Here is a 22,830-nt window from a genome sequence, read left to right as displayed (position 1 = left end):
TACATAGAAGTACTTAACCTAGACACAAACAAGGTGCCAGAGAAGATATTGACAACTAAGGTGAGACTCAATGAGAAGAGGAAAAGAAACAGCAGAGTACAGGCACAGGCTTGGAGATCTTCTGAGGAATAAATGTGAATAACCAAACTATAGTGTACAAACTGGAAGTGGCAAGATTAGAGACATAAACAAGGTCAGCAAAACTGTGAAGGCATTTGTAATCCATGTTAGATTCTTTAGAGTTTGCCTAGCGCTCTATTGAAGACTTAAAAAATTTATTATAAATATTTCACAGACACAAAATGCATAGTAATATTAAAAATCTGCATATACATTGTCATGCGCATCCAGTGAAGAGACCACCAAACAGGCTTTGTTTGAGCAATAAAGCTGTTTATTTCTCCTGGCTGCAGGCAGGCTGAGTCCAAAAAGAGAGTCAGAGAAGGGAGATAGGGGTGGGGCCGTTTTATAGGATTTGGGTAGGTAATGGAAAATTACAGTCAAAGGGAGTTGTTCTCTGGCAGGCAGGGGAGGGGGTCACAAGTTGCTCAGTGGGGGAGCTTCTGAGCCAGGAGAAGGAATTTCACAAGGTTAATCACTCAGTTAAGGTGGGGCAGGAAAAAACCACAATGGTGGAATGTCATCAGTTAAGGCAGAAACCGGCCATTTTCACTTCTTTTGTGATTTTCATTTGCTTCAGGCCATCTGGATGTATACATGCAGGTCACAGGGGATATCATGGCTTAGCTTGGGCTCAGAGGCCTGACATTCCTATCTTCTTATATTAATAAGAAAAATAACATGAAATAGTATTGAAGTGTTGGGGAAGCAAAAATTTTTGGGCGTGGTATGGAGAGATAATGGGCGATGTTTCTCAGGGCTGCTTCGAGCAGGATTAGGGGTGGTGTGGGAACCTAGAGTGGGAGAGATTAAGCTGAAGGAAGATTTTGTGGTAAGGGGTGATATTGTGGGGTTGTTAGAAGGAGCATTTGTTGTATAGAATGATTGGTGATGGCCTGGATATGGTTTTGGATGAGTTGAGAGATTAAACAGAAGACACAAGGTCCGAATAAGAGAAGGAGAAAAACAGGTATTAAAGGACTAAGAATTGGGAGGACCCAGGACATCTAATTAGAGGTTACCCAAGGGGGTTCAGCATAATTACTTGCTTGGTTGGCAAGCTTTTTGGCTCTATTCTTGAGTTTTTTTATGTTGTCATATACCAGGCCAGATTGATTTAGGTAAAAACAACACTTCTGATTTAAAAATATACAGAGTCCCCTTTTTTTAAAGCAGTGAGTAAGTCGAGGCCTCGGCGATTTTGGAGGAAAGAGAAATGCAAAGCCAGCAATTGTTTGTTAAAGGAGGATTAGAAATGGCTAGGAGAAAGTGAGTGAGATTGATAGCATGGTGGAGATAGTTGGGGAGAGGTAGAGGGTGGCATAAGAACTGGAACGAGAATAAGAGTGAGTATAAAAGTAAAAAATAGGACTTCATCAGGGTGAAAGTATTGGAGTGTACCTTGTGAGCAAAGATTATCTATCCACTTTAAGAGAGACTTAAGGGTGGTGGTTTGAGTTAAAACCAGGAGATATCAGTTATGATGGTTTGAAGGAAAAGTGTAAACCGGCAGTGTAAACAAAGGTAGGGTATTTACAAGTAGTTGAGAACGGTGAATAGGAGTATGACTAGACAGAAGATAGTGCGGATGACAAGTTTTTGGGGCACAGTCCAAGTTGGGCTGGTATCTGGAATGAAACTGGGGCCTAATAAAAAGGAGCATCCAATAAGGAGCTCAAATGTGCTGTACCCTATAGCATCCCGAGGACAAGCCCAAATTCTGAGAAGGGCAAGTGGTAAAAGTATTGTCCAGTCCTTTTTAAGTTGGAGGCTGAGCTTGGTAAGGTCTGTTTTTAAAAAACCATTAGTCTGTTCTACCTTTCCTGAAGATTAAGGATAGTTAAGGGGTATGAAGGTTCCACGGAATACGATTGCCAGTCCATTATCGGACTGTATAGAGGTGGGAGGGCCAAACTGAGGAATTATGTCTGACAGAAGGGAAGAAATGACCATGGTGGCCTTCTCAGACCCTGTGGGAAAGGCCTCCACCCAATAAGTGAAAGTGTCTACCCAGACCAAGAGGTATTTTAGTTACCTGACTTGAGGCATGTGAGTAAAGTCAATTTGCCAGTCCTGGGCGGGGGCAAATCCCTGAGCCTGTTATGTAGGGAAGGGAGGGGGCCTGAGAAATCCCTGAGGAGTAGTAGAATAGCAGATGGAACACTGAGAAGTGATTTTTTGAGGATAGATTTTTACGATGGAAAGGAAATGAGAGGTTTTAAGAGATGGGCTAGTGCCTTGTAACCTACATGGAAGAGGTTATGAAATGACGACAGAATAGAATGGGCCTGTGAGGCTGGAAGGAGATATTTTCCTTGGTTCAAGAACCATTTGCATTGTGTGGGAAGAGATTGATAGGTGGAAGTTTCAGTGGGAAAGTTGGTGGGAGTGACTGATGAGAAGGAGAAAAACTGGCCATGACAACAGAAGTTGGAATGCTAGCTGCTTCTTTAGTTACCTTATCAGTACAAGCGTTGCCCTGAGTGATGGGATCTGACGTCTTTTGATAGCCCTTGCTATGAAAGACTCCAGCTTCCTTTGGAAGTAAAGCAGCCTTGAGAAGAGTTTTTATTAAAGAGGCATTAATTATGGAGGACCCTTGTGTAGTGAGGAAACCTCTTTTTGCCCATATAACAGGATGGTGGTGCAGGATATAGAAGGCATATTTAGAGTCAGTATAAATATTGATGCGTAGTCTCTTTGCAAGAGTGAGGGCCCCAGTTAAGGCAATGAGTTCAGCTTGCTGAGAGGTAGTGGAGGGCAGCAGAGCAGTAGCCTCAATGATAGATGTGGAAGATACTATAGCATAGCCTGCCTTGCTGGTGAGTGGCTATTAGGCCTGATGGAACCGCCGTCGATAAACCAAGTGTGATCAGGGTGAGGAACAGGATAGAAGAAAATATGGAGAAATGGAGTGAATGTCAGGTGGATTAGAGAGATACAGTCATGGGGGTCAGGTGTGGTATCCAGAATAATGTGGGGGCCAGCCTAAAGCAGTAAGGTCAAGCTGTTTGGATAGAAAGGCTACAGGGTGCGGTCCTGGCTCTTGTGTAAGAATTCCGACCACACAGCCCTGCACTTCAGCTGTGTGTAATGAAAAAAGGGTTGGGATGAGTTAGGGAGAGCTAGTGCGGGAGCTGCTTTTAGGGCTGTTTTTTAAGGAATGGAAAGGGGAGTGGGGAAAGGATTTACAATTTATGGGGTCAGCTAGGTTTTTTGTGTGTGTGAGTTTGTATAATGGCTTTGTTAGGATGGTAAAACCAGGTATCCAAAGGCAAAAGTATACAACCATGCCCAGGAAGGAAAGGAGTTGTTGTTTTGTAAAAAGGGTTGGGGCTTGAGAGATCAGCTGGACACGATTGGCAGGGAGAACATTTGTGTTTTCATGAAGAATTATGCCAAGATAGGTAATGGATGGATGAGGAAGAAATTTGGGCTCGACTGAAGTAATGGGGGCTGTCCGTGAAGCCCTGTGGCAGTACAGCCCAGGTAAGTTGCTGAGGCTGATGGGTGTCAGGGTCAGTCCAAGTGAAAGCAAACAGAGGCTGGGATGAAGGGTGCAAAGGAATAGTAAAGAAAGCATGTTTGAGATCCAGAACAGAATTATGGGTTGTAGAGGGGTTGTGGAGGGAGGTATTGAGAATAGGAGAGTATATGGGTTTGGCACCATGGGGTGGATAGGCAAAACAATTTGGTTGGTAAGGCACAGATCCTGAACTAACTTGTAAGACTTGTCCAGTTTTTGGACAGGTAAAATGGGGGAATTGTAAGGAGAGTTTATAGGCTTTAAAAGGCCATGCTGTAACAGGTGAGTGATAACGGGCTTTAATCCTTTTAAAGTGTGCTGTGGGATGGGATATTGGTGTTCAGCAGGGTAAGGGTGATTAGGTTTTAATGGGATGGTAAGGGGTGCATGATCGGTCACCAAGGAGGGAGTAGAGGTTTCCCATACATGTGGATTAAAGTGGGGGGATACAAGGGAAGGATGTGAAGGAGGCTTTGAACTGGGGAAAAGGGTGGCAATGAGGTGTGGCTGTAGCCCAGGAATAGTCAGGGAAGCAGATAATTTAATCAAAATGTCTAGACCTAATAAGGGAGCTGGGCAGGTGGGGATAACTAAAAAGGAGTGCATGAAAGAATGTTGTCCAAGTTGGCATCAGAGTTGGGAAGTTTTAAGAGGTTTAGAAGCCTGGCCATCAATACCCACAACAGTTATGGAGGCAAGGGAAACAGGCTCTTCAAGAGAAGGTAATGTGGAGTGGGTAGCCTCCGTACTGATTAAGAAGGGGACGGACTTACCCTCCACTGTAAGAGTTACCAAAAGCATCTGTGATGGTCCAGGAGGCTTCCGAGGTGATTGGGCAGCATCAGTTTCAGCTGCTAAGCCAAGAAGATCTGGGAAGGAGTCAGTCAGAGAGCCTTGGGCCAGGGTTCCAGGGGCTCTGGGAGTGGCTGCCAGGGGAGTTGGACAGTCCAATTTCCAATGGGGTCCCACACAGATGGGACATGGCTTAGGAGGAAACCCGGGCTGTGGGCATTGCTTGGCCCAGTGGCCAGATTACTGGCACTTGAAGCTAGATTCTGATGGAGGAGAGCCTGTAGGAATACTTGACCACTGCGGCTTAGGCATTTTGAAGTTCTTGTGTGCTGGAGATGTGGCTGGGATTTCTCTCACAGTGGAGGCAAGGAATTGTTCAGAAATATGTTGCTACTTGGCTCCCTCTACTCTATTATTGTACACCATCAAGGTGAGATTAATTAAGTCATGTTGTGGGGTTTGAGGGCCAGAATCTAATTTTTGGAGCTTTATTTAATGTTGGGAGCAGATTGAGTAATAAAGTGCATATTGAGAATAAGACGGCCTTCTGACCTTTCAGGGTCTAGGGTTGTAAAGCTTCTCAGGGTTGCTGCAAAACAAGCCATGAACCAGGCTGGGTTTTTATATTTGATGAAAAAGAGCCTAAATGCTAACTGATTTGGGAGAGGTCGGATAAAGAAAAAGGAGCACTAACCTTGACTATGCCTTTAGCTCCAGCCACCTCTTTAAGAGGAAATTGCTGGGCAGGTGGGGGAGGGCTAGTCACAGAATGAAACTGTAAGCTGGACCTGGTGTGAGGAGGGGAGGTGATAGAAGGATTATAGGGTGGGGGAGCAGAGGCTGAGGAAGAATCAGAGCCTGATTCAGCGTGGCGGGGAGTGACCTGAGGAAGAGCAGTCTGGGGAGGAGGGGAGAGGTCAGATGGGTCGGTAGAAAAGGAAGATTGAAAAGACTCAGTGACACTTGGGGTTGGGACTGAGGGGACAGGCAGGAGGGAAAGAAGGATTTCGGATGAGTCGCATTGGGAACAGAGACTAGGGAGGGACTGATGTGTAAAAGAATGCCTGGACATCAGGCACCTCAGACCATTTGCCCATTTTATGACAAGAATTATCTAGATCTTGTAGGATGGAAAAATTGAAAGTGCTGTTTTCTGGCTATTTGGAACCATTGTCGAGTTTGTATTGGGGTCAAGTGGTATTGCAGAAGAAAATAAGACATTTCGGTTTTAGATCAAGTGTGAGTTGAAGAGGTTTTAAGTTCTTGAGAACACAGGCTAAGGGAGAAGAAGGAAGACTGGAGGGTGGAAGGTTGCCCATAGTGAAGGAGGCAAGCCCAGAGAAAAGAGAGGGTAGAGACACGGAGAGAAGGGATGGGGGGTGCTTGCCCCCCAGGAAAGTGTGCTTGCCACTAAGGGTGAAGGATCAAGGCAGGTGTCCCCAGTGATCAGAGACCTCTGAAATGTGGGTGAATAATCAAGCAGGCATCCCCACAGTAATTAAACACCAAGGGAAGACTGTCTTCCCGAGTCTGTGACCGGCGCTGGAGTTTTGGGTTCATGGATAAAACGCATCTCCTCTGTCTCTACCAGAAAAGGAAAGGAACTGAAATTAAGAGAAGAGAGAGATTGAAGGATGGTGCCAAGATTTAAAGGAGAAAGAGGTTTAGGGATAGTGAGAGAGGTTGGAGAAGAAAGTAAAAAGAGGCCGCTTACCCAATTTAAAATTGGTGAGATGTTCTTTGGGCTGGTTGGTCTGAGTACCAGAGGTCGTAGGTGGATCTTTCTCATAGAGCAAAGAGCAGGAGGACAGCGGATTGATCTCCCAAGGGAGGTCCCCTGATCTGAGTCACGGCACCAAATGTCATGCATGTCCGTCTGAAGAGACCACCAAACAGGCTTTGCGTGAGCAATAAAGCTTTTTAATCACCTAGGTGCAGGCAGGCTGAGTCCAAAGAGAGTGTCAGCGAAGGGAGATAGGGGTGGGGCCGTTTTATAGGATTTGGGTAGGTAAAGGAAAATTACAATCAAAGGGGGTTGTTCTATGGCAGGCAGGGGCGGGGGTCACAAGGTGCTCAGTGGGGAAGCTTCTGAGCCAGGAGAAGGAAGTTCACAGGTTAATCGCTCAGTTAAGGTGGGGCAGGAACAAATCACAATGGTGGAATGTCATCAGTTAAGGCAGGAACCGGCCCTTTTCACTTCTTTTGTGATTCTTCACTTGCTTCAGGCCATCTGGATGTATACATGCAGGTCACAGGGGATATGATGGCTTTGCTTGGGCTCAGAGGTCTGACACACATCACTAAGCTTAAGAAATAAAACATAAATACTCGTGTTCCAGTGAACCAACAACACTCCAGCCTGGGTGACAGAGCAAGACTATCAGAGGTGTTTGAAACAGGGTGACTCCATCTTGAATAGCGGCTGGGTAAACTAAGGCTGAGACCTACTAGGCTGCATTCCCAGGAAGTTAAGGAGGTCGGCACAATACAAGTCACAAAGACCTTGCTGATAAAACAGCATGCGGTAAAGAAGCCAGCCAAAACCCACCAAAAGCAAGATGGTGTTAGATATGAGTTCTAAATTTCTTTTCAAAGAATTAATATGTCAGTATGTTCAATTCTTTGCCTTCTACTTTTAAACTTCCTCATAAAGCAATCTTTTTCAATTACCTACTCCACCCTGACTCATTCTGATCACCTGCTCCACCCTACATTCCAATCACTGGCTCCACCCTAACTCATTCCAATTACCTGCTACCTGCTCTGCCCTGACTCCCGCCAAAGCACTCACCCCTTCATTCTCTTTAAATTAGCCAATCGGAATTAGTTTAGGCTGTGCAGTCTAACCCTAGCCAATAGGGGAATGACACAGCAACAGGGGCCACGTGCTTCAGGGATAAGAACCCCTTCCCCTCCCTTGTCCAAATGAGCGCTTACCATTGTTTGATCTGTAAGGGTGCACCCTTCTATATAGAAGTAACTTGCCTTGCTGAGAATTAAAAAGAAAATTTTATATTCGAGTGCTACTTCTTTTGTGGCACCAAAACTTTATATATAACAAAAGTGACCTCTTGGTCATCTTCACTGCTCATTATATGCTAATTATAATACATTAGCATGCTAAGAGACACTCCCACCAGCACCATGACAGTTTACAAATGCCATGGCAATGTCAGGAAATTACCCTATATGGTCTAAAAAGGAGAGGAACCCTCAGTTTCAGGAATTGCCTACCCCTTTCCTGGAAAACTCATGAATAATCCACCCCGTGTTTAGGGTATACAAAAATAACTGAGTATTCTTAGTTGAGCAGCCTGTGCCACTGCTCTGTCTATGGAGTAGCCATTCTTTATTCCTTTACTTTCTTAATAAACTTGCTTTTACCTTACTCTATGGATTCGCCTCAAATTCTTTCTTGCAAGAGATCCAAGAATGCTCTCTTGGGGTCTGGATAGGGACCCCTTTCCGTTGACAAGACCTATCACAGAAAAAAAAATCACATAAGTACTCTTTAAAAAGAGGAAAAACCTAAAAAGCAAAAATTAAAAATACATATACAATACAAACACACACAGTAGAATTTTCTTATATACCCCTGATGGTGTTTTTCTCCTTCGTGCTCCATTGAAACCACTATCTTGAATTTGGCGTTATTATTCCCACACATTTGGCTTCGTACTTTAACTATATCCATAACTCTAAACAACTCAAACAAATGGTTGAGGGGTGAGTAAGGTTGCCAGACGAAATACAAGGTGTCGGCGAAAAGAGTCAATCTGTAAAATATTAGAAGAGATTTATTCTCAGCCAAATGTGAGTGATCATGTTCTGTGACACAGACCTCAGGAGGCCCTGAGAACATGTGTCTCAGGTGGTCCGGGAGCAGCTTGGTTTTACTCATTTTAGGGAGACATGGGACATTAATCAAATACATTTAAGAAATACATTGTTTGGTTCAGAAAAGCAGGACAACTCAAAGTGGTTGGTGAGGAGGGCTTTCAGTATGATTTAAACATTTTCTGGTTGACGGTTGAGTTTATCTAAATACCTGGGATCAATAGAAAGGAAATGTCTGGCTTGCTGAGACCAAAGTTTTATCAAGCAGATGAAGTCTCCAGGTAGCAGGCTTCAGAGAGAATAGATTGTAAATGCTTCTTATCAGATTTAAGATCTGTGTTGATGTTAATGCCTGAGAGGTATCATGAAGCAGATCCGACCCCCACTTCTCATCATGGCCTCAAGCAATCTCTAAGGTTAATTTTTTTTTTTCTTTTTTTGAGACGGAATTTCACTCTTGTTACCCAGGCTGGAGAGCAATGACACAATCTGAACTCACTGCAACCTCCACCTCCTGGATTCAAGCGATTCTCCTGCCTCAGCCTTCTAAGTGGCTGGGGTTACAGGTGCCTGCCACCATGCTCAGCTAATTTTTGTGTTTTTAGTAGAAACGGGGTTTCACCATGTTGTCCAGGCTGGTCTTGAACTCCTGACCTCAGGTGATCCGCCCGCCTCGGCCTCCCAAAGCGCTGGGATTACAGATGTGAGCCACTGCACCCAGCCTCTCAGGTTAAATTTTAGGAGCTCCCTGGCCATGGAGGAAGTCCATTCAGATGATTGGGGGGCTTTACAATTTTATTTTTGGTTTACAGAAGTGCCCAGGTAAATGTGAATTTCAGATAAACAACAATTTTTTTTTTTTTTTTTTTTTGAGATGGAGTCTTGCTCTGTCGCCCAGGCTGGAGTGCAGTGGCGCCATCTCAGCTCACTGCAAGCTCCGCCTCCCAGGTTCATGCCATTCTCTTGCCTCAGCCTCCCGAGTAGCTGAGACTACAGGCGCCCGCCACCAGGCCCGGCTAATTTTTTGTATTTTTTAGTAGAGACGAGGTTTCACTGTGTTAGCCAGGATGGTCTCGATCTCCCGACCTCGTGATCCACCCACCTTGGCCTCCCAAAGTACTGGTATTACAGGCATGAGCCACTGTGCCTGGTCAACACCAATATTTTTTTTTTTTAAGTGTAAGTACATCCCAAATATTGCATGGGACAATACCTCAAGTATTACAAATATCCCTGTCCTATTTGGGATACACTTATACTAAAAAGTTGTTGTATATTTGAACTTTAAATTTAACTGGGTGTCCTGTAATTTTATTTGATACATCTGGCAATCCAAGGGGTGAGTGATGTGAGGTTTTGTGTGTGCAAGCACAGGTGGGAAATGGGAGTCACAGATCAGTTAGGAGACAGTTTCAAGTGATAGTAGCCTGAACCCAAATATGGCTAGTGGTATAAACCAAAAATAAAATTCTAAGATCCCCCTTCCAACCGTCTATCTGAATGGACTTCCTCCTCATTCACGGCTCTTTTAAAATTTAACTGCAGAGACTGTTTCAGGTCCTGATGGGAAGTGGTGGTCGAACATGCCTCATTATACCTCTTCATCATTAACATCAGCACAGACTTTAAGTCTGATAAGAAACATTTTACATTCTCTTCTCTCTGAAGCCTATACTTGAAGGCTTCCTCTGCAAATAAGAACTCGGGTCTCCATCATCCTTTATCTTAAGCCAGACATTCCTTTCTGTTAATTCTAGGTCTTTAGACAAACTCAACCAATTATCAACCAGAAAATGTTTAAATATACCTATAAGCCGGGCGCAGTGACTCAGGCCTGTAATCCCAGCACTTTGGGAGGCCAAGGCAGGCGGATCACTTGAGGTCAGGAGTTCAAGAACAGCCTGGCCAATATGGTGAAACCCCGTCTCTACTGAAAATATAAAAATTAGCCAGGCATGGTGGCACACGCCTGTAGTCCCAGCTATTCGGGAGGCTGAGGCAGGAGAATTGCTTGAACCCAAGAAGCTGAGGTTGCAGTGAGCCGAGATACCATTGTACTCCAGCCTGGATGTCCCAGGGAGACTCGTCTCAAACAAAACAAAACAAAACAAAACAAAAACAAATAAATTTACCGATAGCCTGAAGTCTCCCTCACCACCTCAAGTTGTTCTGCCTTTCTGGACCAAACCAATGTATTTCTTAAATGTGTTTGGTTAATGTCTCGTGCCTCCCTAAAATGTATAAAACTAAGCTGCACCCGACTACCTGGGGCACATGTTCTCAGGACCTCCTGAGGGCTGTCCTCATATTTGATTCAGAAGAAATCTCTTCAAATATTTGACAGAGTTTGACTCTTCATCGGCAGTGGAAAAATCAAGAGAAAGAGTTCCATTTTAGAGCTCTGCAGTAGGTAGAAAGGTCAAGATTTTGTGACTGGCTGAATGTGGGGTTTATGGCTGTTAACAGTGGAGGGGGTCCAGGTTCTTGGCATCTTGAACAAAGAATTGGACAAAACGCACAAACAAAGCAAGGAAGAATGAAGGGTTTTATTGAAAATGAAAGTACACTCCACAGCGTGGGAGCAGCATAGGGGTTCAAAGGACCTGTTACAGATTTTTTGGGGAGTGTAAATACCCCCTAGAGGATTCCATTGGTTACTTGTGTTACACCCTATGTAAATGGAGAGGATGAAGTAAAATTACAAAGTTATTTACAGCATACATCTCATAGAGAGGATATTTCCTGTCATAGCTGAAGTGTGAATTGGCCTTGTGTTCCCTGCCTCCAGACCCTATTTTCCTGCCTCATGGCAAGGGAGGAGTCAAAGGTAATGAGAAGTGAAATATGGATTTGGTCAGTGAGATTGCTGATGGAGATGAGTTTCATTTTGGAAGTTTTGAGTTAGTTGTTCTTGAGGAATTTTTATTTTATTTTATTTTTGAGATGGAGTCTTGCTCTGTCACCCAGGCTGGAGGGCAGTGGCATGATCTCGGCTTACCGCAACCTCTGCCCCCAGGTAAAAGTGATTCTCCTGCCTCAGCCTTCCGAGTAGCTGGGATTACAAGCGCCTGCCACCACGCCCAGCTAATTTTTGTATTTTTAGGAGAGACTAAAAATACAATATGGGGTTTGGCCATGTTGGCCAGGCTGGTCTCGAACTCCTGACCACAGGTGATCCACCCGCCTCGGCCTCCCCAAGTGCTAGGATTATAGGCGTGAGCCACTGCGCCCAGCCCGGAGTATTTAGACTACAGATACAGATGTAGTTACATATATTCTGAGCAATAAAGTAATTTAAAATAAAACATATTCAGGAAGCTATGGACACATGTACTGACCCTTGTCTATCTATACCATTTAATCTCTTACACACTACCCATTGTGCCTTTTTTTTTTTTTTGAGACAGTCTTGCCCTGTCACCCAGGCTGGATCTCGGCTCACTGTAACCTCCGCTTGCCAGGTTCAAGCATTTCTCCTGCTCGGCCTCTGTAGTAACTGGGATTATAGGCATGTACCACCAAGCCTGGCTAATTTTTATATTTTTAGTAGAGATGGGTTTTCGTCATGTTGGCCAGTCTGGTCTCGAACTCCTGGCCCCAAGTGATCCGCCTGCCTCGGTCTTCCAAAGTGTTGGGCCTACCCATTGTGTCTTAACCTCTTCTTTCACTAAAAAACCCATTCCTGTCTCTGTTCTAATTCTCTTGTTTCTAGCCTTTGTCGATCTAAAAATAATTTTAATTATGAATGTTTCACTTTATCTTTTCCTTTTCATCTCATTGACTCAGCCTTTCACTGTGCTCCTGGCATTTTTTCTCCTTCTTCCTCCAAATCAGTCTGTAGGTTTTATCTGTCTCAAAGGAATTTCTTCCTTCAGGAACTTCCAGCTGTTATTGGCTCTGGTTTCCTTGGCAACCCCTGCTTCTCAGATTTTTTTTCTGATTACTTAAGAGAAATTTTACAAAATCACTGATAACCACTGATCAGAAACCGTAGAAGAAAGGGAAAGTGCTCTGCATTGCCTCTGAGAAAGGAAGGGGGCAGATTTAGAGGAAAGAGAAAAATACTGAGACCCAGGGAGATGGAAGTAAAATGTGTGAATTAAGTATTGATTTACATGGTTTGTTATTTTCATCTGTCAGTGTACTGCTGTGTCGTCAGATTTCAGAGACAATTACCTCATTAGTTAGATAGCCCTATCATCTATCAAACAAAATACTCCTAGATCTTGTTCAACCATTGTGGAATGTAGGAAATCATATTCCAGATTATTGTGAGAATATAAAACACAAATCTTCAGAGAAGATGAAAGAAAAAAGATGTAGACTAAACTTGCACTAATATTTACATTAGAAACATTATTAGTATGCAATGCAATGAGAATTGAGTAAGGTTAGTAACTACAGATCCTAATTGGAAGTCTGTTGATATATTTAAAAAATATAACGAGTGAGATTTTATTTTGTACAGTACTGCTGTTCTGTATTTCATGTTACCATACTACTGCTTTTGTTAAATGAAGACACCAGGACAGGGATTAGGTGCTTTGTGTAGGGCTAATAGAGATACATAAATTTCTGGCAAAATTCACAACGTTCTTTCTTAGAGACAGATTTAACTGTCTAGTCAGTGTTTGGTGTTGGTGAGCACATAACTATCTAACAAAACTCTCATTAGAAAAAGTTGAAAAACATTCATTTTTCAGAAGCTTTTTGCTATTCAAGGCAAATTGAGCATTATTGAGTTAACTACACCAGGAGAGAAATTAATTTGCTAATTTGTAGAACTACAGAGTATTACCTAGCAAATTCAGTAGTTTAGTTCTCAGGGTTTTTTTTTTTTTCCTTTTGGCATGGAGTCTAGCTCTGTTGCCCAGGCAGGAGTGCAATGGCACAATCTCGGCTCACTGCAACCTCTGCCTCCCAGGTTCAAGCGATTCTCCTGCCTCAGCCTCCCAGGTAGCTTGGATTATAGGGGTCCACCACCACGTCCGGCTAATTTTTGTATTTTTAGTAGAGACGGGGTTTCGCCATGTTGGCCAGGCTGGTCTCGAACTCCTGGCCTCAGGTGATCCACCCGCCTCAGCCTCCCAAAGTGCTGGGATTACAGGCGTGAGCCACTGCGCCTGGCCAGTAGTTTAGTTCTATACTTGAATTGATGGATTGCATTCTATCTTGTAAAATTTGAATAAAAAGTAAATACAGTGTTTACCAGTGAAGTTATTTACTCATTACATATTGATATAATTGATAATCACTACATATTTTATCATATTGAATTCAAGACACTGTGATAACAGATTTTTTTGAAGCAAAATCCTGTTTTAAGTCTTTGGATATAGTACTTTTGCTGACCACTCTTGCATTTGTCTCTCCAACATTATTCCCCACCTCATTCCCATTATGAAACAGTTCACTGTTTGGAGAGCTGGGCCCCACCTCCGGCTCCGAGATCAATCCTGATTGGGTGAAACTAATCTGAGTAACCCCTCCTTCACAGGGGTTTGTCAGATAACCCAGGCTTGAGCCAATCACCGTTCTCTGGGACACAGATTGGACTGAGTTATCTTGTAACTGTCATACTCCAGATTTATGTGGGAGCAGGAACTCCTTTGGACCTTAAGGAGGAAGCACGTGGCTGCTTTTACCTGCTGGCAGTTATCTTGTGTTCTTGAAGGAAGCAGGCCTGAGGAGGACTCCTCATACAGAGAGAAACACCGAGAGATTCACTGAAAAACTGACATGGGATCCTGAGGGGCCACTCTTGAAGACTTATCTCTGCACCTTTCTGGTATGTAAGTCAATACATTCCTTTAATTTAACCCTGTTTCAATTGAATTTATTGTTACTTCTACATGAAAAACAAAAAGTCCTAAATGATATATCTACTCTTTGGCTTCATGTAAGAATTCAAGAGTGTAGCAGCTAATTTCAGTGTAGTTATATTGGGATTATTTAAGAAGTTTATTTAGCATCTCATTACTGAGTCTGCAGTTGTCTTAGTACCTTGTAGATACTTGGGGTTTTGTGTTCTAATAGACTGATTAATTCAACAACTGCTTATTATTAATATAAGCATTCACTCCCTGTAGGGCACTGTGCATACAGCAATGATCAGCATGATTCCAGTGCTCAGAGAGCTCCAAGGATTAGTTGAGACCAGACAAGAATATCAAGGAGGCATGCAGAAGTTACAATGGGAAATCAAAAAGAAGACAAAGGAGGGACACCTAATTCAGAACGATGGGTTTGTTGGATAGGAGAGAAAAGGAGACGAATGGGCAGGTATCATCAAAGATTCCTAAGAAGAAGTTCCTAACTTCTGTTTTTGTGCCATTGACTCTTTGGCAGTGTGGAGAAACCCAGGGACCCATTTTCAGAACAGTGTTTTTAAATGCATAAAATATTTTGGATTAAAAGGAAACTCTGAGTATTGAAATACCTAACAAAATATTTTAAAAGCAAATTTGTAATACAGTAATGTATATGCTTCTTTATTAACTAATTAAAGAACAAGATATAGCAATGAGCATACCTATTAAGATAATTTTAGAGGTACTAATGACTATAAATGAAATTTTGAGTTGTCTGCAGCAACTGTTATGTGAAATGAAAATACCTGTGGTTTTTTTGGTTGTGAAGTCACAGGTACTACTAATGCTAATACTATTGTGGTTTGTGGCATACGTTCATAATAGAATGACATGCTAAATTTTATTTGGAAAGTTAGTTCAACACAATTTCCTGGCTCTGAATTCTATGCCAAGTTAAAAAAAAATTTGTGCTAAGAAGGGATAAAATTTGATGTAATTCTTTTATTTATTTATTTATTTTTTTAGACAGAGTCTCGCTCTATCGCCCAGGCTGGTGTGCAGTGGTGCAATCTCACTGCAACCTTTGCCTCCTGGGTTCAAGCCATTCTCCTGCCTCAGCCTCCCGAGCAGCTGGGACTACAAGCAGACGTCACCATGCCTGGCTGATTCTTTTTGTATTTTTCAGTAGAAATGGGGTTTCACCATGTTGGTCAGGCTGATCTTGAACTCCTGACCTCAAGTGACTTGCCCACCTCGGCCTTCCAAAGTGCTGGGATTACAGGCATGAGCTACCACGCCCAGCCCCAGAAAGCTTTTCTGATCATCCAATTTCTATTTTCCCCAAATAGAATTAATGACTTCCTTTTCTATATTGTATTGGGAGCTTATATAATTTCAATCCTTGTATTTTTCATAATGTATTACAATCATATTTCTATCTTTTTTATAATATATTGTAATCTTACATTTCTGTCATTTTTACAAGCCCTTAAAAATAATGGATGGGGCCAAGTGCAGTGGCTCACACCTGTCATCTCAGCACTTTGGGAGGCTGAGGTGGAAGGATCACCTGGGCCCAGGAGTTCAAGACCAGCCTGACCAACATAGTGAGACACGGCCTCTATAAAAAATAATAATAATAATGAATGGGCTGGGGGCAGTAGCTCACACCTGTAATCCCAACACTTCAGGAAGCCGAGGTGGGTAGATGGCTTGAGTCCAGGAGTTTGAGACTAGCCTGGGTGACATGGCCAAACCCAGTCTCTACAAAAAAATACAAAAATTAGCTGGGCCCTGTAGTCCCAGCACTTGGGAGGCTGAGGCGGGAGGATCCACTTGAGCATGGGAGGTGGAAGTTGCAGTGAGCTGAGATCATGCCACTGCACTCCAGCCTAGCTGACAAAATGAGACTCAAAAAACAACAAAAAATAAGTCTTGGTGTGGTGGCTCATGCCTGTAATCCCAGCACTTTGGGAGGCCGAGGTGGGCGGATCACCTGAGGTCAGAAGTTCGAGACTCAGCCTGGCCAACATGGTGAAACCCCATCTCTATTAAAAATACAAAAATTAGCTTGGCATGGTGGTGGAGACCTGTAATGCCAACTACTTGGGAGGCTGAGGCAGGAGAATTGCTTGAACCCAGGAGGCGGAGGTTGCAGTGAGCTGAGACCACACCATTGCATTCCAGCATGGGCAACGGGAACAAAACTCTGTCTCAAAAATAAAATAAAATAAAAAATAAAAAAGGATGATATTTATTTATTTATTTATTTATTTTTAAAGACAGGATACCTGTCACTTAGGCTGGTGTGCAGTAGTGCAATCCTAGTTCACTGCAGCCTTGGACTCCCAGGCTCAAGTGGATCTCCCACCCCAGCCTCTTGAGTAGCTGGGACTGCAGGTGTTTAGCACCACAGGTGGCTAATATTTTATATTTTTTGATAGAGATGGGGTTTCACTATGTTGCCCAGGCTGGTTTCAAACCCCTGACCTCAAGTGATCCTCCTGCTTTGGCCTTTCAAAGTGTTGGGATTACAGGTATGAGCTACCACACCTGGCCTGAATATTATTTTTGATATGTATGGTGTTTGATTTTACTGGAGGGATACTTATGAGTTTCCACATTCCATGGGTGACATCCATGGGTGACAGCCACTAATAAAGAAATTTCAAATTCAGACTCTAGTGATAGAATACTTCACAAGTATAACGGGATATTATTTGGTGTAGGTTTTTAGTAATAGGATGCTGGCCACTTACCCTATACACACGCTTTGAATATTGGTGTTTTCAAGATTTTGTTCTATATGGACCTTCTTAATTTCTCATTCTATAAACTTTTCTTTGGGGAACTCACCCACTTCTGGAGCATTAATTACTGTGTAATGATAACTTCTGAATCCAGCCCATACCTAGTTCTCTGTTACCTAAGGATCACTTGCAAATATCTAAAATGTAGAACATCTAACTCCCTACAGATAAGCAACTTTCAACTCAATATGCTAAGATTGAACTCATTTTTAAAAACCTCTTAAACCTTTTTCTGCCTCACTCTTACTAACTTGGTTCATGCTCTCATCATCTGATTTACTGCATACTTCTTTAAAGTTCTGTTCTTGATGCATACTTCTCTAAAGTATGAGTGACTGAATTTTCTTTTTTTTAATTTTTTTTTTTTTTTGAGACCAAGTTTTGCTCTTGTCACCCAGGCTGGAGTGCAATTACACGATCTTGGCTCACTGCAACCTCCACCTCCCAGGTTCAACCGATTCTCCTGCCTCAGCCTCCCGAGTAGTTGGGACTACAGGCACCCACCATCATGCCCGGCTAATTTTTGTATTTTTAGTAGAGACAGGGTTTCACCATGTTGCCCAGGCTGGTTTGAACTCCTGACCTCAAGTGATCCACCCGCCTCAGCCTTCCAAAGTGCTGGGATTACAGGCATGAGCCACTGCGTTCGGCCTGAGTCACTGAATTTTCTATAAAGGTGATTGCATTATGCTATTCCCTGTTTAAAGATCTCTAAAAAGACTATTCCTTTTTTTTTTTGGACAGAGTCTCACTCTGTCCCCAGGCTGGAGTGCAGGGGCACAATCTCAGCTCACTGCAGCCCCCGCCTCCTGGGTTCAAGCGATTCTTCTGCCTCAGCCTCTCGAGTAGCTGCGAGTACGGGCACAAGCCACCACGCCCAGCTAATTTTTGTATTTTTAGTAAAGACAGGGTTTCACCATATTGGCCAGGCTGGTCTCGAACTCCTGACCTCGTGATCTGCCCGCCTCAGCCTCCCAAAGTGCTGGAATTACAGGCATAAGCCACCGCGCCCGGCCAAGTGTAAACTTTTAAGATGACATACAAAGCCCTGCATGACCTGGCCCTTCCTCTCTCTCTAGCCTTACTGTCAGATTTGACTGTACCACATTCTAGCATTGAAGTATTGGGCAAGTTTTTTTTAACTGTCAAGTGAGGATACTAATGCTAATCAGGGGGAGATAACAGCATATAAAGTGCCAAGCATACTGCCTGGCTTAGCGTTAACAATAAATATTGGCTATTGTGGAAGAAGCAAACATTATTGCATGTATTTTTTCAGTCTCTACTGCTGTCTCAAGAGGATGCTTTGAACTGTTGATTGGGTAATGTTTTAACATAAACGGAACTCTCCACTCCACCGAAAAAGAAAGAAGAGGAAGAAACAGATTTATCTGAACAGACTGAGAAGAAAATTGGAGGTGAAAAGTTGAGTGACTGGGGAGGATTAAGAGAGGCCCATCGAGTTGTTTGTTTGCGGAGATGAGTTAGCAGTAGTATAAACTTTAAGAAAGAAGAGATCTGGCCGGGCGCAGTGGCTCATGCCTGTAATCCCAGCACTTTGGGAGGCTGAGGCTGGCGGATCACTGAGGTCAGGGGTTCAAGACCAGCCTGGCCAACACGGTGAAACCCCGTCTCTACTAAAAATACAACAATTAGCTTGGTGTGGTGGCGCAGGCCTATAATCCCAGCTACTCTGGAGGCTGAGGCAGGAGAATCGCTTGGACCTGGGAGGTGGAGGTCGCAGTGAGCCGAGATTGCACCACTGCACTCTAGCCTGGACTACAGAGACTCTGTCAAAAAAACAAAAAAACAAAAAAAAGAGAGAGAGATCTGAAGTATTTGCTCTCAGAACATAGGGGGACTTTGGAGAGTTAAATGGGTGAAGATCTTTAGGATGTTTTGCTAAGCCCCCTCCTTACGTCCTCAGTGGCCAGCTTTAGTTACTTTGTTAAAGTTTTATGGTTGGCAGATTTACGTTTCTTCAGAGTTTGACACTAGGTTGAGGTTGGCCATGAACTAATACAATTATATTTCAGTTACACGATTCTTTGCCCTCCTTGAGTGTCCCCACCCTCATATATGTTAACTCTGACATCTGCCCGAAATTCATTCATCTAATAAATATTTGAGTGGCCTCCCCTCTTTCCGATTGCTGGACAGCCCATCATTTTCCAAAGTCAGCACCTAAACTCTTCTATGACTTTCCTGACAACTCAACACTAAAATTCGTCCCTCCCTTTTTTGTGTGCAACCCACCTCCCCGCCTCCGCTTTTAATTGTTTGGCCTTCATTCCTCTTCTACAGTGCTCCCTGCAATCAGTACTGGTGCTGTACATATTTGCTAGCTTCGTACATACGGCACGAAGTAGATGCTCAGTAAATGTTGGTTGACTGAGTATCCTCTGCATCTCGGTGACATCACATCCTGCGTGCCGTGGCGTCATTCTGCATTCCTCTGCGGGAGGCTCAGATCCGGAGGGTTTAAGTGGTTGTTTATAACATGCACCGAACATATCCAACGGAGGCTGTGGTTTCCGACCGCCCACAAAAAGCGCGGTTGGCGGGAGTGCGGGTTCGGGGTCGGCTGGCAGCTGGGAGACTCCAGCTCTGGGCGGAAACACACTGCCTCGGAGGCGCCGGCGCCTAGTGATTCTGGGAATAGAAGGTGCGAGGGAGGGAGCGGGTGGCTCACTTATCGCGGTGTTTTCTCTCTCTTCACTCCTGGGGGAGCTCTCGCGAGAGGAGCAAGAGGAAGATGGCCGTGCCCTGTTTTTCGGTGTAAGGCAGCGACGGCGGCTGCGACGGCGAGACTGAGATCCTGGTGTCGTGGGCACCTGAGTTCTAGCTTCCCCCAGCGAGCGCGCGTCCCTTCGTGCCTAGGCGAGAGCCGGCTCTTCCCCGGGAGATGCGTTTGTCCCAGGCTCGGGGGCTCAGTGGGAGTTCATGCTGCGCTGGAGGCTCTTGGCCACCGCTCTAATCGCCTTGTGCCGCCGCAGCGCCAGCTCCGTCGCCAGCGGTGAGCCTCCCGATTCCCCCCCTTGCCCCTGGCGGCGGCGATGACCGGGGAGAAGATCCGCTCACTGCGGAGGGACCACAAGCCCAGCAAAGAAGAAGGGGACCTGCTGGAGCCCGGGGATGAGGAAGCGGCGGCTGCCCTCGGCGGTACCTTTACCAGAAGCAGGATTGGCAAGGGCGGCAAAGCTTGTCATAAGATCTTCAGTAACCATCACCACCGGCTACAGCTGAAGGCAGCTCCGGCCTCCTCCAATCCCCCCGGCGCCCCGGCTCTGCCGCTGCACAATTCCTCCGTGACTGCCAACTCCCAGTCCCCGGCCCTTCTGGCCGGCACCAACCCCGTTGCTGTCGTCGCGGATGGAGGCAGTTGCCCCGCACACTACCCGGTGCACGAGTGCGTCTTCAAGGGGGATGTGAGGAGACTCTCCTCTCTCATCCGCACGCACAATATCGGGCAGAAAGATAATCACGGTGAGGAGTGCTAGCCCCTCTCCACCTCTCTCCTTCCCCGAGCCTAGGGTGTGCCTCCCCAGGCTTCTGGAATCCTAGGCCCCCTCCAGCAGACTCTTCTTTTTGCCCATCATCCGGGCCGTTCGGTAAATCATGATCGACTCAGTAATAGCGTGCCAGTGGTCAAGGGGTTGGTTCTTGTGGGTGCAAAGGAATGTATCCTCCTTGCCCACTTCAAAGTTTGTCGTGAGAAGCTGTTTTGTTTGAGACAGGCCTTCGATTTGCTGATTCTGGACTGTCAGAAATTTTAGGTTGCCTCCCACCCAACATGGTTTTCTCCCTTTGTTTATGGAGCTATATATCTTTATTTCTCTCTCTTCCCCCTACCTTGGCATTTTAAATTTTGAACGCATAAATTGCCCTCCTCCCTTCATTGCTCACATACAGATCCCATCTTGACTGCAACTGGTTGTGATTTTGCCTGCCACCAGGTTGTTTCTTTTTTGTCTGCTTTCAGTAAACTTAGAATGTTAGATTTCTGAAAGCCACACAGTAGAAATTTGTTGGTATTTGATACGTAGAACAGTTAAAGTGACTTCTCAACAGCCGATTTTTGTTTGAGTAGAGATTTGATTTTTTGCTTGTTTTAAGTAGATAATTGCTAATAGTAATGTCTCATCTTGATGACTGTGACTAAAAATAGTATTATGATTTTTATGGTAATTTTATCTTAGTCAATATTGACCATTTCTTTTTGCCTTGTCAGCTGAATTTTTTGTTTAATTCTAAAAAATAATGTGACTGAGTTGACTTTTAAGCAACAGTAAATTTATTATTGAAGACTAATGTGAACACTGACATTTTAACATTTAATAGCCGTTTTAAACTGGGTAGTTGGCAAATATTGTTGATCGCTCTGCTATTAATATGAAAATTGTATACATTCAGTTAGAACACACTGAACCAACTTTGTGCTCAAAATGATATACGTATCAATGAAATATTTGCCTGTGAAATAAGCTCACTTAATTCCATTGGATCGTAGGCTTTTTAGGACAAAAATTCAGATAAAAAAAACGAGTAAGATTTCTCTTGGCTGTATAATTATCTAACAACTGCATTTGTTTTCAGAATTTACAATGTTGTAATTGTAATAAAATCACCACCTATCATTTATCATAAATCCCCAAAAAAGTATGTTAAAGTTGCAGCCAGTTTTTCTTTCCTACATTTAAATTACTTAATCATTTTACTATTATAGTACAAGGATAATGTTGTTTGTTGATGATGGTAATTCTATGCTAGCCCTTTGGAAAACAGTTGTTAGTGGGAGATGGGTTGTAGCTTCAGTTTATTAGTCTATTATGAGGAAGTTTTTCAAATTTGGTTTACATAGTAGCCATAGTTACATTACCTTGAAATATCCCTGAAACAGATAAAAGGTTTGAGAGTTAACTCCCTTTGAAAGAAGAGATGGATGAATATCACTGAAGCTATTGAATTACAGGATTGTTGGGCTTCCATGTCTTCTTCAACCCAACATTTAGGAGTACATTTGTTTAAGTTCAAATTCTGTTCAAAGTAATTAGAATCCTGTATACTCTTAAACTCTTGTCCTTAGCCCACTGAAATTAACTTTTTTTTTTTTTTTTTTTTTTTTGAGACGGAGTCTTGCTCTGTCGCCCAGGCTGGAGTGCAGTGGTGCAATCTCCGCTCACTGCAAGCTCCGCCTCCCGGGTTCACGCCATTCTCCTGCCTCAGCCTCCTGAGTAGCTGGTAGTACAGGCGCCCACCACCGCGCCAGGCTAATTTTTTTGTAATTTTAGTAGAGACGGGGTTTCACTGTGTGAGCCGGGATGGTCTCCATCTCCTGACCTCGTGATCTGCCCGCCTCGGCCTCCCAGAGTGCTGGGATTACAGGCCTGAGCCACCGCGCCTGGCCTTGAAATTCACTTTTTTAAAGGAAGGTTTTTATTGTGTTTAGCTGACCTTATATCATTGATGTTTCTGATTAATGTAACCGGTGGTTCACATACCTGGGGTAAATATAATTGCTTTCCCCCCTGCAATGTGTACATGCTCATCTCCTACAGTGAGGTGTCCTAGGAACTGTGGCTTCAATTTAATGTGCTTCTTATTTAGTCATTTTTTCTCCCATAGCCTCATAGATTTTTCTGATACATTATTACTTTTAGTCTTGACATTTTACTAACCTGGATGCTTTTAGATTTTTAGGATATTTTTGCTTTAAAATTATAGAAGATAAATACTTATAAAATCACTTAAACAACAGCAAGCTTGGCCAGGTGCGGTGGCTCACACCTGTAATCCCAGCAGTTTGAGAGGCCGAGGTGGGTGGATTACCTGAGGTCAGGAGTTCAAGACCAGCCTGACCAACATAGTGAAACCCCGTCTCTACTGAAAATATGAAAATTAGCCTGGCATGGTGGTGCATGCTTGTAATCCCAGC

The 22,830-nt window shown here is 43.8% G+C and overlaps 1 protein-coding gene and 2 long non-coding RNA genes across 20 annotated transcripts in view, besides 15 other annotated features; 2 read left to right on the top strand and 1 right to left on the bottom strand.

Annotated features, from left to right (window-relative positions):
* Positions 1,141–2,022: an enhancer, noted in NCBI's record as "H3K27ac hESC enhancer chr1:70838021-70838902 (GRCh37/hg19 assembly coordinates)". NCBI's record gives its function as "activates a minimal SCP1, AML or CMV promoter by ChIP-STARR-seq in primed H9 embryonic stem cells {active_cell/tissue: H9 hESC(primed)}" and the evidence as "EXISTENCE:reporter gene assay evidence [ECO:0000049][PMID:30033119]".
* Positions 2,023–2,905: an enhancer, noted in NCBI's record as "H3K27ac hESC enhancer chr1:70837138-70838020 (GRCh37/hg19 assembly coordinates)". NCBI's record gives its function as "activates a minimal SCP1, AML or CMV promoter by ChIP-STARR-seq in primed H9 embryonic stem cells {active_cell/tissue: H9 hESC(primed)}" and the evidence as "EXISTENCE:reporter gene assay evidence [ECO:0000049][PMID:30033119]".
* Positions 2,467–2,667: a silencer, noted in NCBI's record as "peak282 fragment used in MPRA reporter construct". NCBI's record gives its function as "represses an SCP1 promoter by STARR-seq MPRAs in K562 erythroleukemia cells {active_cell/tissue: K562}" and the evidence as "EXISTENCE:reporter gene assay evidence [ECO:0000049][PMID:32103011]".
* Positions 5,641–6,487: an enhancer, noted in NCBI's record as "NANOG-H3K27ac hESC enhancer chr1:70833556-70834402 (GRCh37/hg19 assembly coordinates)". NCBI's record gives its function as "activates a minimal SCP1, AML or CMV promoter by ChIP-STARR-seq in primed H9 embryonic stem cells {active_cell/tissue: H9 hESC(primed)}" and the evidence as "EXISTENCE:reporter gene assay evidence [ECO:0000049][PMID:30033119]".
* On the bottom strand, positions 6,337–19,549 carry ANKRD13C-DT (ANKRD13C divergent transcript). Of its 8 annotated transcripts, NR_168350.1 has the most exons (5): positions 19,152–19,549; positions 8,032–8,214; positions 7,823–7,916; positions 7,376–7,427; positions 6,337–6,743 (listed from the first exon to the last, which is right to left on the bottom strand). It is a non-coding gene; the product is annotated as an ANKRD13C divergent transcript (long non-coding RNA). The 8 variants fall into 8 exon arrangements; NR_168349.1 differs by lacking the exon at positions 7,376–7,427; NR_168352.1 differs by lacking the exon at positions 8,032–8,214.
* Positions 13,798–13,991: a silencer, noted in NCBI's record as "fragment chr1:70826052-70826245 (GRCh37/hg19 assembly coordinates)". NCBI's record gives its function as "represses an EF-1alpha promoter that drives an FKBP-Casp9 reporter gene in an ReSE screen in K562 erythroleukemia cells {active_cell/tissue: K562}" and the evidence as "EXISTENCE:reporter gene assay evidence [ECO:0000049][PMID:32094911]".
* On the top strand, positions 13,923–14,801 carry LINC03102 (long intergenic non-protein coding RNA 3102). Its single transcript, NR_183713.1, has 2 exons — positions 13,923–14,063; positions 14,365–14,801. It is a non-coding gene; the product is annotated as a long intergenic non-protein coding RNA 3102 (long non-coding RNA).
* Positions 15,228–15,287: an enhancer, noted in NCBI's record as "active region_1193". NCBI's record gives its function as "activates an Ori minimal core promoter by ATAC-STARR-seq in GM12878 lymphoblastoid cells {active_cell/tissue: GM12878}" and the evidence as "EXISTENCE:reporter gene assay evidence [ECO:0000049][PMID:35858748]".
* Positions 18,936–19,853: an enhancer, noted in NCBI's record as "NANOG-H3K27ac-H3K4me1 hESC enhancer chr1:70820190-70821107 (GRCh37/hg19 assembly coordinates)". NCBI's record gives its function as "activates a minimal SCP1, AML or CMV promoter by ChIP-STARR-seq in naive H9 embryonic stem cells {active_cell/tissue: H9 hESC(naive)}" and the evidence as "EXISTENCE:reporter gene assay evidence [ECO:0000049][PMID:30033119]".
* Positions 19,259–19,318: an enhancer, noted in NCBI's record as "active region_1192". NCBI's record gives its function as "activates an Ori minimal core promoter by ATAC-STARR-seq in GM12878 lymphoblastoid cells {active_cell/tissue: GM12878}" and the evidence as "EXISTENCE:reporter gene assay evidence [ECO:0000049][PMID:35858748]".
* Positions 19,419–19,478: an enhancer, noted in NCBI's record as "active region_1191". NCBI's record gives its function as "activates an Ori minimal core promoter by ATAC-STARR-seq in GM12878 lymphoblastoid cells {active_cell/tissue: GM12878}" and the evidence as "EXISTENCE:reporter gene assay evidence [ECO:0000049][PMID:35858748]".
* Positions 19,529–19,718: an enhancer, noted in NCBI's record as "active region_1190". NCBI's record gives its function as "activates an Ori minimal core promoter by ATAC-STARR-seq in GM12878 lymphoblastoid cells {active_cell/tissue: GM12878}" and the evidence as "EXISTENCE:reporter gene assay evidence [ECO:0000049][PMID:35858748]".
* ANKRD13C (ankyrin repeat domain 13C) overlaps positions 19,638–22,830 on the top strand; it is a 95,724-nt gene continuing 92,531 nt past the window's right edge. For all 11 annotated transcript variants that reach the window (XR_007064007.1, XM_047431282.1, XM_047431278.1 and 8 more), the window contains exon 1: positions 19,638–20,381. Coding sequence is in view for 10 of the 11 variants with exons in the window: in XM_047431282.1 (XP_047287238.1) it covers positions 19,952–20,381 (430 nt within the window). In the remaining variant the exon portion in view is untranslated. The remainder of the gene's footprint in view (positions 20,382–22,830) is intronic.
* Positions 19,749–19,808: an enhancer, noted in NCBI's record as "active region_1189". NCBI's record gives its function as "activates an Ori minimal core promoter by ATAC-STARR-seq in GM12878 lymphoblastoid cells {active_cell/tissue: GM12878}" and the evidence as "EXISTENCE:reporter gene assay evidence [ECO:0000049][PMID:35858748]".
* Positions 19,849–19,898: an enhancer, noted in NCBI's record as "active region_1188". NCBI's record gives its function as "activates an Ori minimal core promoter by ATAC-STARR-seq in GM12878 lymphoblastoid cells {active_cell/tissue: GM12878}" and the evidence as "EXISTENCE:reporter gene assay evidence [ECO:0000049][PMID:35858748]".
* Positions 19,849–21,231: a biological region, named in NCBI's record as "BRD4-independent group 4 enhancer GRCh37_chr1:70818812-70820011".
* Positions 19,854–20,772: an enhancer, noted in NCBI's record as "NANOG-H3K27ac-H3K4me1 hESC enhancer chr1:70819271-70820189 (GRCh37/hg19 assembly coordinates)". NCBI's record gives its function as "activates a minimal SCP1, AML or CMV promoter by ChIP-STARR-seq in naive H9 embryonic stem cells {active_cell/tissue: H9 hESC(naive)}" and the evidence as "EXISTENCE:reporter gene assay evidence [ECO:0000049][PMID:30033119]".
* Positions 20,032–21,231: an enhancer, noted in NCBI's record as "BRD4-independent group 4 enhancer chr1:70818812-70820011 (GRCh37/hg19 assembly coordinates)". NCBI's record gives its function as "activates an origin of replication core promoter dependent on BRD2, P300/CBP, MED14 and CDK7 cofactors, and independent of BRD4, by STARR-seq in HCT116 cells {active_cell/tissue: HCT116}" and the evidence as "EXISTENCE:reporter gene assay evidence [ECO:0000049][PMID:35650434]".

Source organism: Homo sapiens, chromosome 1 (genome assembly GCF_000001405.40).
Source record: "Homo sapiens chromosome 1, GRCh38.p14 Primary Assembly".
In the NCBI taxonomy this organism is placed as follows: Eukaryota; Metazoa; Chordata; class Mammalia; order Primates; family Hominidae; genus Homo; species Homo sapiens.
Note: the sequence above shows the minus strand (reverse complement) of the source record. Positions and strands in the feature narration are given on the sequence as shown.